The following is a 20,693-nucleotide window of genomic DNA, read 5'->3' as shown; positions in this document are numbered from 1 at the left end:
ACAGGGATGGGTGGAGTATTGTGGTCATTTGTGCAATCTACCAAAGTGAGCAAAAGCTGTATGTTAAACATATTAAAACACATGTGAAGTATTCAAAAGAAGACTTGAACAAATGGAAAGTCATAACGTGTGCTTAGACAGGAAGACTTAATCTCATAAAGTTGTCAATTCTGCCAAGTTAATTTATAAAGATAATATGATCTCAATAAAAATATTAACAACAGGCTGGGTGTGGTGGCTCACGCCTGTAATCCCAGCACCCTGGGAGGCCGAGGTGGGTGGATCACCTGAGGTCAGGAGTTCCAGACCAGCCTGACCAATTATGGTGAAACCCTGTCTCCACTAAAAACTCAAAAATTAGCCAAGTGTAGTGGTATGTGCCTGTAGTCCCAGCTACTTGGGAGGCTGAGACAGGAGAATTGCTTGAACCCAGGAGGTGGAGGTTGCAGTGAGCAGAGAACACACCACTGCACTTCAACCTGGGCTCCAGAGCTAGACTCCATGTCCAAAAAAAAAAAAAAATTAACAATTTGGCTTTCTGGAACCTGAAAAGCTGATTCTGAAGTACATATTGAAAAAGAACAAGAATAGCCATGGAAACTCTGGAAAAAAAAACAAACAGAGGGGACCAACAATTCTAGATATTAAAACATATTACAGGCCGGGTGCAATGGCTCACACCTGTAATCCCAGCACTTCAGGAGGCCAAGGCAGGCGGATCACCTGAGGTCAGGAGTTAGAGACCAACCTGGCCAACATGGCAAAAACCCATCTCTACTAAAAATACAAAAATTAGCCAGTGGCGGGCGCCTGTAATCCCAATTACTCAGGAGGCTGAGGCAGAAGAATCACTTGAACCCAGGAGGCAGAGGTTGCAGTGAGCCGAGATCATGCCACTGCACTCCAGCCTGGGCGACAGAGCGAGACTCCAACTCAAAAGTAAATAAACAAACAAACAAACATATTACAGAGCTGGGATAATTGAAACAATGTGTTACTGGCTTATGAACAGATCTACCAAACCATGGAACAAAAACAAAAGCCCAAAAATGGACCTAAGTGAACACAGAAAGTAGCACATGATAAGCCTCACATCTCAAATCATGGAGGTAAAGATGGACTTCTTTTTTTTTTTTTTTTTATATGGAGTCTCACTTTGTCACCCAGGCTGGAATGCAGTGGCACAATCTCAGCTCACTGCAACCTCTGCCTCCCAGGTTCAGGTGATTCTCCTGCCTCAGCCTCCCAAGTAGCTGAGACTACAGGCACCCACCACCATGCTCAGCTAATTTTTGTATTTTCAGTACAGACAGGGTTTCACCATGTTAGCCAGGCTGGTCTTGAACTCCTGACCTCAGGTAATCCGCCCACCTCAGCCTCTTAAAGGTAAAGATGGGCTTCTAAAAACCCGGTTGAGGCTGGGTGTGGTGGTTCACGCCTGTAATCTCAGCACTTTAGGAGGCAGAGGTGGGTGGACTGCTTGAGCCCAGGAGTTCGAGACCAGCCTGGGCAACAGAGTGAGACCCCATCTCTACAAAAAAAATACAAAAAAATTAGCTGGTCATGGTAGGGGCGCACCTGTGGTTCCAGCTACTTGGGAGGCTAAGGAGGGAGGATTGCTTGAGCCCGGGAGGCATAGATAGCAGTGAGCTGAATCACACCACTGCACTCCAGCTTGGGTGACAGCCAGCTCCTGTCTCAAATAAAAAAAATAAATTAAATAAAAACATGGTTGGTGTTACAACAACTGAAGAATCATCTGGGAAAAATTAAAGTTGGATACAAATGTCATACTACGTACCTGGATAAACTCCAAATATTTTTATGTAAGAAAGCTGAAATCTTACAAGAACTAGATAAAAACATAGGTGAGTTCCTTCATAATTTTGGAGTGAGGAAGGCCTTTTGAACTATGACTCAAAATCTAGAAGCAATAAAAGAGACTGGGAAATTCAATGACATAAATATCTGTGCGTGGCAATAATAGCGACAACTTGGCCAGGTGTGGTGGCTCACGCCTGTAATCTCAGCACTTTGGGAGGCTGAGGCAGGCAGATCACGAGGTTGGGAGATCGAGACCATCCTGGCTAACATGGTGAAACCCCATATAACAGTGAAAAGTCTTAATCCCACCTGTGAGCTCATCTCTCCTCTCCGTCCCTTCTCTACAGATGACTTTAATTTGTTGTGTATCCTTCTAGTTTTTTTTTTTACTTTTTAGACAAGGTATGGCTCTGTCCCTCAAACTGGAGTACAGTGGTATGATCTTGGCTCATTGTATCCTCCACCTTCTGGACTCAAGTGATCCTCCCACCTCAGCCTCCTGTGTAGCTGGGACTAGAGGTGCACGCCACCACACATGACTAATTTTTGCACTTTTGTGGTAGAGACAGGGTATCACCATATTGCCTAGGCTGGTCTTGAACTCCTGGACTCAAGCAATCCACCCGCTTCAGCCTCCCAAAGTGCTAGGATTACAGGCTTGAGCCACTGTGCCAGGCTCCTTCCAGTGTTTTTACATGGAAATATAGGAAGGTATGAATATTCTGATTTTCCTCCTTTCATACAAGAGAAAGCATACTATACTCACTGATCTGTACTTTGCTTTACTCACTTCACAGTAACGTGGCTGTGTTTACATGTCAATACATAAAAACTTCTGTGTTCTTTTTTATAGATGTGTAGTATTCCATTGTGTAGATGTACCATTTCCTAATGGAGGACAACCCGGGAGGCGGAACTTGCAGTGAGCCGAGATCGTGCCACTGCACTCCAGCCTGCGCGACAGAGCCAGACTCTGTCTCAAAAAAAGAAAGAAAAAAAGAAAAAAAAAGACTTTTCACTGTATACTTTTCATTGAGTTACATATTAAGTGCAATGTAATGCCTGTTAACAATATAAAATTTTTTTTCTTAAAATCACCACTTTGGAAGAGAATTCCTTAAGAAGTTAAACATATACCTGCCGTATAACTCAGCCACTGTACTCCTGGTATGTCATTTCCAAGAAAAATGAAATCATATGTCCACGAAAAGACTTGTATGTGACTCTCATAGCCCTTTGCTTATAACAACAGAAAAGAGAAACAACCCCAATATCCCTCATCAGGTGAAACCAATTGTAGTCCATCCATACAACATCATACAATGAAATACTACTCGGCAATAATAGGAACCAACTATTGCCACATGTAGCAACATGGATGAATCTCAAAACTGTGATGTAAAATTTTAAAGGTTTTAAAAAAGCATACATAATTATGATTCCATCTATACAAAATTCTAGAAAATACAAACTAGTGATAGAAAACACATCAGCGGTTGCCAGTGGGTAGGGGTATGGGGAAGGAGGCATCGCTTGCAAAGAGGCAGGAGGAAATTTTTAGGACATGGAAATACTCATTGTCTTATTTTGGTGATAGTTTCATGAAAGAATACAGATATTAAAGCTTTTAACTGTATACTCCAAATATGCACAGTATTGTACATCAGTTATACCTTAATAAAGTTGTAAAAAGAAAACCCACAATGCAATTGAGGTGATGGGGAAGGAATGAACTAAATCTATAGGCATCTGGTTTAAAATATCTTGAAAATATAATGGAAAAAAGCAATACCATATTTTGGTTATGGACACCTTTTTTTAAATGTCCAGTGGAGAGGACTGACTTATTAAGTGGAAGAGAGAGTGAGGGAGAGGAAATTTTAAAATTTTGAAAGACTAGAAGTCATATAGGGTATGTTCTCAGACCACAATGAAATTAAACTAGAAATCAATAACAGAAAACTGGAAAATCTGGAGATTAAACAACACACTTCCAGACTTCCTTTTTTTTTTTTTTTTTTTTTTTTTTTTGAGACAGGCTCTCCCTCTGTTGTCCAGGCTGGAGTGCAGTGGCGCGATCTTGGCTCACCGAAACCTCCCTCTCCACAGTTCAAGCAATTCTCCTGCCTCAGCCTCCCAGCTAGCTAGGATTACAGGCGTGCAGCATACACGGTGCCTGTCACCATGCCTGCCACCACGTCCAGCTAATTTTTTTGTATTTTTAGTAGAAACAGGGTTTCACCATGTTGGCCAGGCTGGTCTCAAACTCCGGACCTTAAGTGTTCTGCCTGCTTCAGCCTCCCAAAGTGCTGGGATTACAGGTGTGAGCCACTGTACCCAGCCTAAAAACATTCTTCTAAATAACCCATGAGTCAAAGAAGTCTCAAGAGAACTAAAAAATATTTTGAACGAAAAAAAATGAAACTATAACTTATCAAAATGTATGGGATGCTGCTAAGGCATCCCATAAAAAGCATTTGTGTTTACAGAGAAATTTATAGCATTAAATGCATATATTAGAAAAGAAGGTCTTAAATCAATCCTCTAAGTTTCCACTTGAGGAAACTAGGGAAAAAAGAGCAATTTAAACCTAAAGCAAGCAGAAGAAACTAAGTAATAAAAATTAGAGCACAACTTGAAGAAAACAACAGGGGAAAATCAACAAAACCAAAAGTTGAACTTTGAAAAGATCAATACAATTGATAAACCTCTAGCCAGGATAACCAAAGAAAAAAAGAGAGAAGACAAATTACCAATATCAGAAATGACCAACAGCAAGAGATCATCATTACTGGTCCCACAGATGTCATAAGGAGGATAAAGGAATATTATGAACAACACTATGGCCACACATTTGATGGCTTAGTTGAAAAGACCAATTCCTTGAAACATACCAACTACCCAAAGGCAAACATGCAAGGCCTGCAATAATAAAAAATGTGAGAAAGCAAGATGGCTTCTAACCTCGGCTCCATGGGGCCGCATTAGCTGGGGGCAAAGAGTTGGCAACACAATGTGATGGGTAATGAGAGGTGCACAAAGGGTCAGCTGGGAAGGCTTCAAAGAGGAAGTGTGTCTAAAACAGACAGGGAAGGACACTTTTACCAGGCCCTCACGAGGGTGCCTCAAAACCAGCAAGTCCACAGTGTTACGGACTGAATTGTGCCCCCTCTGCCCCTAAAACTCATATGCTGAAATCCTAACCCCGAGGGCCTTGGATTGTGATTATTTGGAGACAGGGCCTTTAAAAAGGCAATTAAGTTAAAATGAAGTCATTAGAATGGGCCTTAATCCAGTATGACTCATGTCCTTATAAGAAGATTAGGATACAGATGACAGAGACACCAAGCACTCCTGCACCGAGTGACCACCATGTGAAGACACAGCAAGAGAGTGGTCACCTGCAAGCCAAGGAGAGAGGTCCCAGAGGAGACCAATCTTCCCAGCACTTTGATTTTAGACTCCTAACGGCCAGATGTGTGAGAATATAAATTTCCGCTCTTTAACCCACCCAGTCTATGGTACCTTGTTATGGCAGCCCAAGCTGAACTCATGATCTTTCTCTCCAAAACTCATTCTTTCCCACAGTCCAACATCCACTCTGAAGGACAGCCAGAAATCCCACCCTTACATCTCACATTCAATTTTGTAACAGGACCTGTCCATTTTACTACTCAGCTCTCTCCTATCCATCATTTCATACCTGAATGACCAGCAAAAACCTCTTTAATAGTTCCCCACGTCCATTCCAGCAATGCTCCGAATCTGTTCTCCCAATGCCCCCAGAGAGATATTTTCAAAACAAAAATACAACCTGTCATTCATACCTCACCCATACCCCTACCCCTTATGGCCCTTAGTGGCTGACCATAGCTTTTAGAATAAAGACAAACTCTATACCATGGCCTATGGAGCTCTGACCAGCCTCCGCCTCTCTCTGCTCCCCAGCATCATTGGCTTTCTTCAATTGCATGAAGGAATGAACCATGCTCTTTCTTGCCACAGGGCCCTCGCACATGTTGTTCCTTCTGCCTGGAATGCTCTTCCATCACCTGGCCAACTTCCCTTCCATCGCTTGGCTAACTTCACTCACTCTGATCTCTAGCTTAAGCACCACTTCCCTAGAGACGCTCTGGGACTTCCCCTCCCAAGTCTGAGTCACATTCCTTTATAATAAGCACTTGGAGAAGTGAGTTCCTTTCCTTCAGAGGCCTTCTCAGAGTTTATAATGAAACACTCTTTTGTGAGATTCTTTGTTTGATACCAGTCTCCACTACTCAGTGGGAAGCTCTGGGAGAGCTTTCTCTTTTTGTTTCGCCATCAGGTCCTAGCACCTGGCACAAAGTAGGTCTCAACTGATGCTTACTTCATGAATGGATGAATGGAATTAGGAAGAAATGGGGGAGATGGCACTCTAGGTATAGGAAAAAAAGATGCTTGAAAGGTCTGCCGAGACCACCACTCCTGTATTTGGCAAAGCCTCAACAGTGCGGTCTGCGAATACAAAAGTTTGCGGGAGGACCCCAAAACCAACACCCCCATCACACACACATGCACATCAAGTACATACCCAAATTCTGGAAGATCTCTGTCAAAATGCACACTTTCCTCATAGAAGACATTCAACTCTGCATCAACAGCAACAACCTTTACCTGAAAGGCATTTTAAAAAAGGAAGTGTAGAATTTTCCTCAGCTTCTACACTGGTCCAGGGGGTACTAACGTCACCAGATGAGGCCCCACACCCTAGGAGCAGTTCAACCTAGAGACCTCCTTGAAGGCAGGGCTGCCTCACCGTAATCGTGGTAACAGAGGACTCATCTGGGGTAACACTCAAAGATTTAGTAAAATGAAGAAACTGAGGCTAAGTAGGAACACCCACATGTCTCAAGGAATCTTTGTTCCCCAAATAGCCAAAGCCAAGACCCTCTAGAGGAAGATGTTCACAGATGAGTTGGTTCGTGCACCTGACAAGGAGGCGGGAGAAAGTGCCAGAGAGGAAGGAATGGGAAGCAAGGTTTGGAGGCATCTCTGGGGATCCATGTCTGCAGAGGCCTGAGACCAGGCAAGGCCATGGGCTATTCTCACAGGCCATGATTGTGGTCCAGAGACATTAATGTCCCACTGAAGCAATCTCCAAGCTTGGGAGTATAACTCCTTTCCTGGACAGATGGGAAAACTGAGGTCCAGCAAGGCAACTCGAGTCATCCAGAGTCCCACAGGACGTTCCCCCAAGGACTGGCCAGAGGCCTGCCTCCCTTGACCCATTCGAGAAGAGGGGTTTGACTGCAACTGTGTATATTTCCCAAGTACTTTAAAGGAAAAGGTGCCCCCGGTCACCCCATGCCCTCTTTGAAGGCAAATTTTGATTTGCTTGCCTGTCTGCAGGGCGTTGGCAGCAGCACACTGCTCCTCTGGCCAGCAGTCCTGGGTGCACAGACCAGGCAAGCTGGTGTCAACGAAGGGCGGTCACAGGGTAAAGTCCACTTGTACACTATGCATTTCACTTTTTTCTTTTTTTTTTTTTGAGACAGGGTCCCGTTCTGTCGCCCAGGCTGGAGACCGGTGACGCCATCTTAGCTCACTGCAATCTCCACCTCCTGGGCTCAAGCGATCCGCTTCAGCCTCCAGAAAAACTGGGACTACAGGTGTGCTCCACCATGCCCGGCTAATTTTTGTATTTTCTGGTAGAGACCGGGGTTTCTCCATATTGCCCAGGCTGGTCTCGAACTCCTGGGCTCAAGCGATCCACTCGCCTCGGCCTCCCAAAGTGCTGGGATTACCGGCAAGAGCCACCAGGCCTGGGCCATTTCAATTTTTAAAAAAAGGTTTTGGGCTATAATCTGCTTCCAGGTCACTGGTTGTGCATGTGCGCAGGGCTACCCGCCTGTCTGTTCCCCTGCCTTACAGTAGCTGACTTCCTTCGGATCCCCGTCACTGGGTGCCCAGAACAGCGCAGGAACCCGCCGAGTCCTCCGGCCCCTCTGGGCACCGGGGGTCCTGCCGAGGAGCGCCTGCAGTTTCCTGGGGTAGCTGGGTCCAGGCGGGGTCGAGGCCGCATCTTGCGAGCGGGTGGCATTGGCAGGGCATCTCCGGGCGAGGGCACCGGCGCCCCACGGCCGCGCGCAGGGCAGGGGCGCGGGGGCCCCGGGAAGCCCGAGAGGTAGGCGCGCCCGCGGCCGGGCCCATGTTTTCCCGCGTCCGGGTGACAGCCCGCCCCCTACCCCCACCGAAGCGGAGGAGGCGGCCCCGTGGCCCTGCGGCCAGGCGACTGTACCTGCTGCGTGCTGAAGTCCCAGCCCAGGCAGCAGCGGCGAGGGGCGTGCTCCGCCATGGCCTTTCGGGTAAGGCTGCGCGTCCGTCAGTCCGTCCGTCCGCCACGCGGCGTGATAGTCGCCGCGCTCCAGCGCCCAGAGACGCAGGGGCCCGCCCCTAGCTCCGCCCGGCCGGACTGTGGACCGGAGTCACGAGGCGGGCTTGCGCTCTGGCGCCGCCTGCGGGGCTACGCGAGCCGGGACCGCGTCCTGTGCAATCGACGGTGCCCCCACGCAGCCCGCTTTCCTTCGAAGCGCACCCCCTCTGGTTCTCCCCATCTTCATCTTATGTCTTCATGGGCCGTGCCCTGACACCGCCTGGCTTCCCTTAGAGGACGCCTGGGCCAGAGGTTTCAGCTATAAGCCGGCTTGTCTTTCAGAGGGAGCCTGCCTGTCCTTCTGGAGGCCCTGGGCCTGCCGTCCTCTGTGGCTGTATCTTGGCACTGGAGCAGCTGTCCACCCATGGTGGTGACTCAGGGGCCACAGGGAAATGGGCCCTGGGGTTGGAAGCACTGAGTCCTGACAAGCCCTATCCAGATCCAGCAAATCTGAATGGTTCCCAGTGTGTCACATCCCACCTGTGTATTTAAACTCAGCGGCTCCTGATGCCCCCACGGGGAGACACTCCTTCCTGGAGTCAATTGGTATTGATGGTCTAATGTGTGCCAGGCATGGTAAAGGGGAATGAGAACCAGAGTCAGACCCACTCCTTTTATTCATGGAGCTGAGGGCGCCTGTCCCACCAGCTACATCCTTCCCGTCCCTAAGACTAACTGCTTTCCAGAATTCCTCCCCAAACCCAGCATGTGAGAGGCTCCTCCTACGAACTTCCCAGCCCACCAGTGCCCTTTTCATGCACTTGCAATGGTCTGTCTCCCTTGCTGAACTTGAGCTGCTTGGAGTCTACATGGGATCCTCTTCACTGCTAGAACAAGAAGGGGCCAACATACTTGTCCTCCAAGACATTCACAGCTTATTGGGGACTCAGCCCCTCCAGCAGTCACCACCTGTGACAATAGACAAATACTGGATACTAGCTAGATCAGAAACAATTATGCAACCTGCTGAGCACATTTAATCGTCACAATGATGCTGGGAAGTAGGTACTATTATCTCCACTTTTAAAAAATTTTAAATAAAGGTATCTAAGTATCTAATCTAATTAAGATTAGATTACTGCATTTTAATCTAATCTTAACTGCTTGATGACTTTTTTTTTTTTTTTTGACAGAGTTTCACTCCTGTCACCCAGGCTGGAGTGCAGTGGCGTGATCTCCGGTCACTGCAACCTCCACCTCCCTGGTTCAACTGATTCTTCTGCCTCAGCCTCCCATGTAGCTGGGATTACAGGCGCACACCACCGCACCCAGCTAATTTTTTTTTTTTTTTGAAACGGAGTTTCACTCTTGTTGCCCAGGCTGGAGTGCAATGGCGTGATTTCAGCTCATTGAAACCTCTGCCTTCTGGGTTCAAGTGATTCTCCTGCCTCAGCCTCCCGAGTAGCTGAGATTACAGGCATCCGCCACCACGCCCAGCTAATTTTGTATTTTTAGTAGAGACGAGGTTTCTCCATGTTTGTTAGGCTGGTCTTGAACTCCCGACCTCAGGTGTTCCGCCTGCCTCATCCTCTCAAAGTGCTGGGATTACAAGCGTGAGCCACTGCGTATGGCTCTAATTTTGTATTTTTAGTAGAGATGGGGTTTCACCATGTTGGTCAGGCTGGTCTCAAACTCCGACCTCATGTGATCCACCTGCCTCAGCCTCCCAAAGTGCTGGGATTACAGGCGTGAGTCACCGTGCCTGGCCAATGACTTTTTAAAAATGTATGTATATACCCATATAAACACTGAGATCAAAACAGAACATTTCCACCACTCCAGAAGTTTCCTTCATGACCCTTCCTAAACTCCCAAGGCAATCACTATTCTGATGTCTACCAGTATAAACTCACTTTGAACTTCGTATAACTTACCATCTTCATTTTACAGAGTGAGAAACTGAGGTGTAGAGAAGTTAGTTAACGTGGCCTAATGAAACTGCCATTGCAAAATTATAACTGAGACAGTGAAAGAGATCTGACTTAACCAATTCCATCTTGCTTCTAGCCTCCAAGCTGTCATTGCTTATTCATGGGCATAGGCAGAACTAACTTTGGGAGGAACTTACTTTATAGTTTAAAACAAAGATGATAACAGCTCTTTCCCAAAACAAATCTCCTTCTTGCCTGTGACTAGACTGCCTTTGTAGGACTAACAAATTAGCCACAAGATTAGAAATTAAGGTTTAGGAGTCATGCAGCTGGAGACTACAAGATTCTGACCATCACCAAATTGCTCCTGGGGATAACATCACTATTGTAAAACCTAAGATCAGTGCTTGAGATATTTTAGAGACCCTGCACTTGATGGATCAGCTGGTACCACCCAGCTCCATAAACTGGCTCATCTGATCTTGTGGCCCCCACCCAGGAACTGACTCAGCACAAGAAGATAGCTTCAAATTCCTATGAGTTCATTTCCGACCCAACCAATCAGCACTCCCAACTCACTGGCCTCCACCCACCCACCAAATTATTCTTAAAAACTCTGATTCCCAAATGCTCTGGGAGACTGATTTGAGTAATAATAAAACTCTGGTCTCCTACACAGCTGGCTCTGTGTGAATTACTCATTCTCTATTGCAGTCCCCCTGTCTTGATAAATTGGCTCTGTCTAGGCAGTGGGCAAGGTGAACCTGTCGGGTGGTTATACATCCTTTGCTCAGATCATTGGAACACTCCTTCTTTTGTACAGAATGAGGTGTTGTCCAATTCTAGAATCACAGATAAAATCCATTTAGGATCTTTAAATTTGTTGTAATTTTGTCTTTTGACAGCAGATGTCAGCTCCCAATAAGAGTGGGTTAGTTTGCACAGAAAGGGCTCAGAGTGGACAGATGAACCCACATAGGGAGCTGTGAAGGCTATCAAAGACACAGAAAGAGATCATGAGAGAGGTGTAATGGTGGAATTCACTAGACCGAGCTTGTCCAACCTGCAGCCCATGGGCTGCATGTGGCCCAGGATGGCTTTGAATGCAGCTCAACACAAATCAGTAAACTTTCTTAAAATATTATAAGATTTTGGGGTTTTCTAGATATACAATCATGTCGTCTGCAAACAGGGACAATTTGACTTCCTCTTTTCCTAATTGAATACCCTTCTCCTGCCTAATTGCCCTGGCCAGAACTTCCAACACTATGTTGAATAGGAGTGGTGAGAGAGGGCATCCCTGTCTTGTGCCAGTGTTCAAAGGGAATGCTTCCAGTTTTTGCCCATTCAGTATGATATTGGCTGTGGGTTTGTCATAGATAGCTCTTATTATTTTGAAATACGTCCCATCAATACCTAATTTATTGAGAGTTTTTAGCATGAAGGGTTGTTGAATTTTGTCAAAGGCCTTTTCTGCATCTATTGAGATAATCACGTGGTTTTTGTCTTTGGTTCTGTTTATATGCTGGATTACATTAATTGATTTGCATATATTGAACCAGCCTTGCATCCCAGGGATGAAGCCCACTTGATCATGGTGGATAAGCTTTTTGATGTGCTGCTGGATTCGGTTTGCCAGTATTGTCTCAGCCCAAAATCTCCTTAAGCTGATAAGCAACTTCAGCAAAGTCTCAGGATACAAAATCAATGTACAAAAATCACAAGCATTCTTATACACCAACAACAGACAAACAGAGAGCCAAATCATGAGTGAACTCCCATTCACAATTGCTTCAAAGAGAATAAAATACCTAGGAATCCAACTTACAAGGGATGTGAAGGACCTCTTCAAGGAGAACTACAAACCACTGCTCAAGGAAATAAAAGAGGATACAAACAAATGGAAGAACATTCCATGCTCATGGGTAGGAAGAATCAATATCATGAAAATGGCCATACTGTCCAAGGTAATTTATAGATTCAATGCCATCCCCATCAAGCTACCAATGACTTTCTTCACAGAATTGGAAAAAACTACTTTAAAGTTCATATGGAACCAAAAAAGAGCCCGCATCGCCAAGTCAATCCTAAGCCAAAAGAACAAAGCTGGAGGCATCACACTACCTGACTTCAAACTATACTACAAGGCTACAGTAACCAAAACAGCATGGTACTGGTACCAAAACAGAGATATAGATCAATGGAACAGAACAGAGCGCTCAGAAATAACGCTGCATATCTACAACTATCTGATCTTTGACAAACCTGAGAAAAACAAGCAATGGGGAAAGGATTCCCTATTTAATAAATGGTGCTGGGAAAATTGGCTAGCCATATGTAGAAAGCTGAAACTGGATCCTTTCCTTATACCTTATACAAAAATTAATTCAAGATGGATTAAAGACTTAAACGTTAGACCTAAAACCATAAAAACCCTAGGAGAAAACCTAGGCATTACCATTCAGGACATAGGCATGGGCAAGGACTTCATGTCCAAAACACCAAAAGCAATGGCAACAAAAGACAAAATTGACAAATGGGATCTAATTAAATTAAAGAGATTCTGCACAGCAAAAGAAACTACCATCAGAGTGAACAGGCAACCTACAAAATGGGAGAAAATTTTCGCAACCTACTCATCTGACAAAGGGCTAATATCCAGAATCTACAATGAACTCAGACAAATTTACAAGAAAAAAACAAACAACCCCATCAAAAAGTGGGCGAAGGACATGAACAGACACTTCTCAAAAGAAGACATTTATGCAGCCAAAAGACACATGAAAAAATGCTCACCATCACTGGCCATCAGAGAAATGCAAATCAAAACCACAATGAGATATCATCTCACACCAGTTAGAATGGCAATCATTAAAAAGTCAGGAAACAACAGGTGCTGGAGAGGATGTGGAGAAATAGGAACACTTTTACACGGTTGGTGGGACTGTCAACTAGTTCAACCATTGTGGAAGTCAGTGTGGCAATTCCTCAGGGATCTAGAACTAGAAATACCATTTGACCCAGCCATCCCATTACTGGGTATATACCCAAAGGACTATAAATCATGCTGCTATAAAGACACATGCACACGTATGTTTATTGCGGCATTATTCACAATAGCAAAGACTTGGAACCAACCCAAATGTCCAACAATGATAGACTGGATTAAGAAAATGTGGCACATATACACCATGGAATACTATGCAGCCATAAAAAATGATGAGTTCATGTCCTTTGTAGGGACATGGATGAAATTGGAAATCATCATTCTCAGTAAACTATGGCAAGAACAAAAAACCAAACACCACATATTCTCACTCATAGGTGGGAATTGAACAATGAGAACACATGGACACAGGAAGGGGAACATCACACTCTGGGGACTGTTGTGGGGTGGGGGGAAGGGGGAGGGATAGCATTGGGAGATATACCTAATGCTAGATGACGAGTTAGTGGGGGCAGTGCACTAGCATGGCACATGTATACTTATGTAACTAACCTGCACATTGTGCACATGTACCCTAAAACTTAAAGTATAATAATAATAATAATAATAATAAAAAGATTTTGGGGGGGATTTTTATTTTAGCTCATCAGCTATCATTGGTGTATTTTATGTGTGGCCCAATGTGGCCCAGGGAAGTGAAAAGATTGGACACTCCTGCACTAGAACCTTTCTGGGAGGTAGGGCTTTTGACAGGGTGAAGTGCTGCCTAGGAGCCTCTCCCTCAGGCTTAGCAGTAAAGAGGGCAGGTCATCAAAACAGCAAGAGCAAGCCCATAGACCTTACTTTGTGCTTTTTAGCCTGAGCTGCTTTCACAAATTGCCACAGATTGATGGCTTAAATGACAGGTATTTATTTCCCACAGTTCTGGAGGCTGGGAATTCTAACATCAAGGGGCTAGCAAATTCAGTTCCTGGTGAGGGCTCTTTTCTTGGCTTGTAGACAGCAGCCTTCTTAATGTAGGCTCACATACAGCCTTATCTCCAAGTATGCATGTGGGGAGAGGGAAAGCTCTCTCATCTTTTCCTCTTCTTAAAATTTAATAATCTCATCATGAGGTCCCCACCCTCCTGACCTAATCTAGATCTAATTACCTCCCAAAGACCCCATCTCCTAATACCATCGCATTGGGGGTTAGGACTTCAGTGAATTTTGGAGAGACACAAACATTCAGCCCCTAACAGTTTAAGTACTTTTAAAATTCAGCACCGTTTTGAAGATTTGTTAATATTCATGTATATATCTAATCCTGTGGTTCCCAAACTGCACCAACGTGCTCTGGGTAGCTTCAGGGAACCCATAGAGGTGCTTTGGGATACTTTCCATTTTGGTGGGAAACACAGTGATGCAAAACATCTGTCAGGCATCATGTGAACCACTAACTTGAGGTAGTTCACAGTTCCAGCATTAGACTGCTACATTCCTTTCCATGACATCTTATTTTTGCGAAGCTGTATTTTTAGCAGTTGTAGTGACAAGCAGATACTGCATGAAAATCAAGGGGAAACAAAATAAGGGCACATGTCCAATCTGACCCCAACATTTGAGAAGCCACACGGTGCCCAACAGGCACACACATCACATCCCCTCAGTAAATAATTCTGGTTATTTAAGAATGAAATATTATTTTTTCCTCCAATGTATGTGTATAAATTTCTTCAAACAGGTACTAGTGTGTTGGGACATAAATACCTATTAAGCTGTTTGGACCATCTACTTAATAACAGAACAGAATGGCTAGCCAGAGCTGTTAGCCATTTCTTTTGGCCTAGGAACACCGTGAAGACATTGGTGCATGAAGTGAGAATGTTTGGGAACCCCTGGTCTAGTTGATCATATTCGATCATATTTGTTAGTGAGCCAACACCACATTTTATTATCCAGGCCCCCAGTGAGTGACACCTGGGTGGAGTCCAGTTCAGTGCAAACAGCATTGCATGGATCCCCCTCCCCCATGGCCGTATGGACCTGTGTGAGAGAATGTTTCTGGGCTTTATGTCTGAGAGTAGGATTTATATGATGTGTGCATGACTGATTGGACCAGAGAATGCTGGAGTACTCCTGAGAATGGCTGTGCCAGTCAATGCTCCCGCCTGGAATGCATGAGGCTACCCCATCCCTACCCCCCATATTTAGCACTTGGCATTTCCATCCTTCTAATTTTTTGCCGGTTTAATAGATGAGAAGTGATTTCCCTTACTGTTGTAATTTGTGTTTTTTCTCATTATTGTTGAATTGGAGCATTTCTTCATATATACTCATTGGCCACTCAGGATTTCTCATTCAGTAAATTCCATACTTATCCTTTGCTCATTTCTCAGTTGAATATTTTTGTCTCTTTCTTGTGGATTTGTAGGAATTTCTGGATGTTTCAAGATATAAATCCCCTGTTCATTTTAGATGTTGCAACTATCTTCTCCCAATATGTCATTTGTCTGTTAACTTGATCCAACTAACCTTTTGTTGACTGGAAATCTTTAATTTGAATATAATAAAATCCATCAATTTTTTGCCTTATTGTCCAAGTTATTTGATCTTAAGAAGTGCTTCCCCAACCTCAGTCAACAAATATATAATCCTATATTTTCTACAAGACATTAGCTCACATTTTTTTCTATTAGCAAGATCTTTGAATTTTGCATTATTGAATTTTCTTTGAATCTAGGCATTTTTCAGCTGAATAAATTATCATCATAACAGAAATCAGTGAAAATGAATTCAAGGAAAAGCACTAGGTGTAAGCTTTTCAGAGAAAGAAAAAACTTTTCATTTAGTAAATATAATAATGAAAACGTATTGCAAAATAAGAAAAAAGGGACAAACATCAATCCAATTCTTATACACTGGTCTCCAGTGAAACAACATCAGAACATTTCTTTGAGGTTTGTAGCCATGTGAAACATGAATTTTTCTCAAAGTAAAACTTTATATTGGCAAAGGTCCTTAAGAAAATGTGCTTTCTTCATAAAGATGCATTATTTTTAAATTCCAGTATGCTTTATTCTGTTAATTCTTTATTATGCTTTATTCTATTAATTGCAGGCTAGTTGTTTTTAGCTCACACATTCCTAAATCTGCATTCATTAATATTGATAACTATTGAAACAACTCAGGCTTGTATATATTTTTCAGAATGAGTAATTTTATCTTATTTGTTTTTACTTATTTTTTTGAGACAGGACATCACTCTATTGCCCAGACTGGAGTGCAGTGGCATGATCTTGGCTCACCGCAACCTCCGCCTCCCAGGCTCAAGTGATTCTCCTGCCTCAGCCTCCTGAGTAGCTGGGATTACAGGCGCACACCACTACCACCCGGCTAATTTTTGTATTTTTAGTAGAGATGGAGTTTCACCATGTTGGGCAGGCTGGTCTCAAACTCCTGACCTCAAATGATCCACCCACTTCAGCCTCCCAAAGTGCTGGGATTACAGGCGTGAGCCACCACGACGGGCCAGAATGAGTAATTTTAAAAGTAAAAAGTTGGCAGTATATTAGTAGCTTAAATTTTATCCCTTCTACTTCCAAGACAAAGATAAAATTACTGAATTAAAAATAATCAGAGGGCAGGCATGGTGGCTCATACCTGTAATCCCAGTACTTTGGGAGGTAGATGTGGGAGGATTGCTTGAACCCAGGAGTTCAAGACCACTCTGGACAATATAGTGAGACCCCACCTCTAAAAAATGAAATAAAAATAAATCATAAAAAAATCTGAAAGTAGGGAATGAATTAGACAAATCAATTATAATTCAGATTCACTAATGGATTGTATATATCTGAAATTCTATAACATGTACACATATAGAAGATTTCATCTTGTGATATGTTGGAAATGAATATTTCTTCTGTCCTTTCTATACCAGAGTCAGTAAAATTCTTTGTAAGATCAGTGGGACGCTCTTACAAGTGAAAATAAATGTTTCGAACTACAACCCATAGCAGGACAAATGTTTGAGGGTGGGGGTAGGTCTACCTCCAGTTAAATAAGTAACTCATGCAGCTGAGGTTAAAATTTTTAAAAGCTGAGTTTGGGTTTGTATCTGTAGAAAAGTTTGATGGACTTTGATATTTAAGCAAACAGATTCCAAAGAGCTTTGAGGAGAAAAGTTTTTATTTTCACCAAAGTGTGAATATATCTGCTGTTAATTTGTACTCATGTTAGGAGCAAATTTGGTTTAGGAAAATTAGATGTGACTATCTTCCATTTTTTCCTGGTTTTACTGCATTCACTTCTTGGGATCTGCTCTTCTCCCGCTCCATGAGTATTTGAAGCACATAATTCAGCCAAGTACTTCTTTTGTTTTGTTTTGTTTTTTAAAATAAATTGAAGGTGTACAAGTGCAGTTTTGTGACATGAATGTATTGAGTGGTGATCAAGTCTGGGCTCTTAGTGTAATCATCACCTGAAGAATGTCCATTATCATTAGGTAATTCCTCATCCCTTACCCCCCTCCCACTGTCCCTAAGCCAAGTACTTCTGTATACATGAAAGAATGGTTTGCAAAGATAGACTCCAAGTTATCAATAACAATAGAAATTTAGAAACCAATAGTTTCTAAATCCACTATTTAGAAACTATTGGTTAGGGGATGACTTTTGCATTTTAATGTATTCTATATTATTGAATTTTTGTGAACTAAAAGAATAAAGAAAAAGCAAATAAACAAAATAATAATAATTGAAGGAATCTCAAGCTACTTAGAGCCTTTAAATCATTCTCGTAAATAATTAATGGCTCAAAGAGGCAATAATAATACAACACACTACTTAGAAAGCAGGAAAATGAAAACATCCTTATCAGAACCTTTAAGATATCCTCAAAGGTAAATGTATATTCTTGAATGCTTTCATTAAAGAGTGAAAGTAAATTAACCCCATGTAGTGAGTAGAACTGTGTATCCCAAAAAGATGTGCTCAAGTCCTAACTCCCAGTATCTGGGAGTGTGACTTCCTTGGAAATAGGGTCTTTGCAAATGTAATCAAGTTAACATGATGTCGTACTGGATTGGGGGGCTCCAATCCAATGACCAGTGTCCTTATAAGAAGAGGAAAATTGGCTGGGCATGGTGGCTCACGCCTGTAACCCTAGCACTTTGGGAGGCCGAGGTGGGTGGATCACCTGAGGTTGGGAGTTCGAGACCAGCCTCACCAACATGGAGAAACCCCACCTCTACTAAAAATACAAAATTAGCATGGTGGCACATGCCTGTAATCCCAGCTACTCGGCAGGCTGAGGCAGGAGAATCGCTTGAACCCGGGAGGCAGAGGTTGCAGTGAGCCGAGATCCTGCCATTGCACTCCAGCCTGGGCAGCAAGAGTGAAACTCTGTCTCAAACAAAAAAAAAAAAAAAGAAGAAGAAGAGGAAAATTTGGACACACACACATGGGGGAAGGCCATGTGAAGATGGAAGCAGAGACTAGAGTTTTGCATCTGCAAACTAAGGAACCCCAAGGATTGCCGGCAACCACCAGAAGCAGGAAGAGGCAAGGAAGGACTTTCCCCAGGATCCTCCAGAGAGCGCATGGCCCTGCTGATGCCTGATTTGGGACTTCTAACCTCCAGAACTATGAGAGAATCAACTTCCTTTTTAAACCACCTAGTTGGTGGTACTTTTCAAATGGAAGACCTAGGAAATTAATACACTCCGTAATTCAGGAGGTTAGAAAAAACAAAACCAAGACTGAGCATGATGGCTCATGCTTGTAATCCCAGCACTTTGGGAGGCCAAGGTGGGAGGATTTCTTGAACCCAGGAGTTTGAGACCAACCTGGGCAACACAGTGAGACCCTGTCTCTACCCAAAATCAAAAATTGACTAGGTGTGGCAGTATGTGCCAGTAGTCCTAGCTACTTGGGAGGTTGAGGCAGGAGGATTGCTTGAGTCCAGGAAGTTGAAGCTGCAGTGAGCTCTGATTGCACCACTGCACTCCAGCCTGAGACCCTGTATCAAAAAGCAAAGAAGAAGAAGAGGAGGAGAAGGAGGAGGAGGAGGAGGAGAAAGAGGAGGAGGAGGAGAAAGAGGAGGAGGAGAAAGAGGAGGAGGAGGAGAAAGAGGAGGAGGAGGAGAAATAGGAGGAGGAGGAGGAGGAGGAGAAGGAGGAGGAGGAGGAATAAAAACAAAAGCAGGAAAGCAGAAAGAAGTCAAGAAAGGCGAAACAATGAGAAAACAGTAAAAGCACCAAAATGAAATAATAGTAAATAACTACAAGAGCTGATCTTTGAAACCAGAGAAAAATACAAGCCTCTAGAAGAAAACAAAAACAAAAACTATAACAAAAAAACTCATAAAAATAAACCTGTAATGCACAATGTTGAACCCAAGCCCTGACCTAACGGCACTTAGGCCCTTTTACCATGTAGGTCTCTAGAGGAGGCAAAAACAGCTGCCGGGCTCCTGCAGGGTTGCAGAATCCAGTCTAAAGTGACACTGGCCTCAGGTGTCCAGGACACAGGTCACCAGGCCCTGCCAAGGCTCTGGGAAGTCTGGCAGCTCCACACTTCCCATCCACTCCACACGGCCCTGCATCCAGTGCGACATGAGGATGCTTCCTTCAGCTCTTCATCTGGAATATGTTCTGAAGCATCCAGATGTGGAACTTCATAATCCCATCCATGGAAATATAGCGCCTTGATGTCGGCAGCTCCTTTGCCTTTGTCTTGTCCCTACTTTAGCCCTTCGCTCCTGGATCTTACCATCACTGCCCTACCTCTGAAGCATAGCGTCCTCTGCCCCGTGCTGTGCCTACCCTTCCACCTCCCTACCCTACTGCATGAGCTCTGAGAGCCGATCAAGACCTGTTTAGTGTTTTCTCACCTCACTCCTTTTGGCGCTACTTCCTTTTCTAACCAGCCCGTCACTTTAACCACTCTCTTAACATCACTCTCAACTCCTGGTGCTTTACAGGCAGTGGAAAAACCCTAACTTGGCATCATTTCAGCCAGGTTTCCCTTTTGGAGCCCACACTAGTGGATAATGCTAAAGGAAATCGCACACACTCCTGGCCTCCAGCCCTACCCAGGGCTTAGGGCTAGTGCACCCTGCTCAGCTGCTTCTCCCTTCCTCCACTGCGGCTCTGTCCAGCCTTCACCACAGTCCTCAGGCTCCTGTCCAACATGCTTGCTGGTCATACTCAGCAGAATTGCCTCCTGCTTCTCAGAAAAATGTGGAAGGCATCAAATTCCCCACATCCTCACAACAAACCTATGGGCATCAATACTCACCCACATTTATGCATGCAACAAACATTATGCAGCAACCAATTCTGTGCCAATTTCTGTGCTAGGGCTGGGCTAGAGAGATGAATGGCAGAGTCATTGTCCCTTCCTCAGATGGGGTGTCAGCAGCTGAGGACAATAGGATGCTATTGAGAGACTTGAGCTAGGGAGTGACCAGTCAGGTCATGTTTGTTTGTTTGTAACTGGGAACTTATTTATTAAAAAACATTTTTTGGCTTTTTTTCCCCGAGGCCACTTCATGGTTTATAGTGTTCAGATTTGTTTTTGGAAGATCACTCTGAATGGGGTAAGAAGGGGCAGAAACAAGGCAGTGACAGGAGTTGTGAAACTGTTGTGGGTGGGAG

General features: G+C 44.0%; 1 protein-coding gene across 17 annotated transcripts in view, besides 4 other annotated features; it reads right to left on the bottom strand.

The window, feature by feature from the left end:
* Positions 1–8,242, bottom strand: part of XYLB (xylulokinase) — a 106,257-nt gene extending 98,015 nt beyond the window's left edge. For 14 of the 17 annotated variants that reach the window (NR_146068.2, XR_001740394.3, XR_001740393.3 and 11 more), the window contains exons 1-2: positions 8,102–8,242; positions 6,395–6,477 (exon numbers count right to left, since the gene is read on the bottom strand). Coding sequence is in view for 10 of the 17 variants with exons in the window: in XM_011534327.3 (XP_011532629.1) it covers positions 6,395–6,477; positions 8,102–8,158 (140 nt within the window). In the remaining 7 variants the exon portion in view is untranslated. The other 3 variants (XM_024453850.2, XM_017007596.2, XM_047449382.1) reach the window with 3 other exon arrangements.
* Positions 6,802–7,633: an enhancer, noted in NCBI's record as "H3K27ac-H3K4me1 hESC enhancer chr3:38388885-38389716 (GRCh37/hg19 assembly coordinates)". NCBI's record gives its function as "activates a minimal SCP1, AML or CMV promoter by ChIP-STARR-seq in naive H9 embryonic stem cells {active_cell/tissue: H9 hESC(naive)}" and the evidence as "EXISTENCE:reporter gene assay evidence [ECO:0000049][PMID:30033119]".
* Positions 7,634–8,465: an enhancer, noted in NCBI's record as "H3K27ac-H3K4me1 hESC enhancer chr3:38388053-38388884 (GRCh37/hg19 assembly coordinates)". NCBI's record gives its function as "activates a minimal SCP1, AML or CMV promoter by ChIP-STARR-seq in naive H9 embryonic stem cells {active_cell/tissue: H9 hESC(naive)}" and the evidence as "EXISTENCE:reporter gene assay evidence [ECO:0000049][PMID:30033119]".
* Positions 7,766–7,825: a silencer, noted in NCBI's record as "silent region_14209". NCBI's record gives its function as "represses an Ori minimal core promoter by ATAC-STARR-seq in GM12878 lymphoblastoid cells {active_cell/tissue: GM12878}" and the evidence as "EXISTENCE:reporter gene assay evidence [ECO:0000049][PMID:35858748]".
* Positions 7,836–8,075: a silencer, noted in NCBI's record as "silent region_14208". NCBI's record gives its function as "represses an Ori minimal core promoter by ATAC-STARR-seq in GM12878 lymphoblastoid cells {active_cell/tissue: GM12878}" and the evidence as "EXISTENCE:reporter gene assay evidence [ECO:0000049][PMID:35858748]".

The sequence above is a fragment of the Homo sapiens genome, chromosome 3 (genome assembly GCF_000001405.40).
Source record: "Homo sapiens chromosome 3, GRCh38.p14 Primary Assembly".
Taxonomy (NCBI): domain Eukaryota; kingdom Metazoa; phylum Chordata; class Mammalia; order Primates; family Hominidae; genus Homo; species Homo sapiens.
Note: the sequence above shows the minus strand (reverse complement) of the source record. Positions and strands in the feature narration are given on the sequence as shown.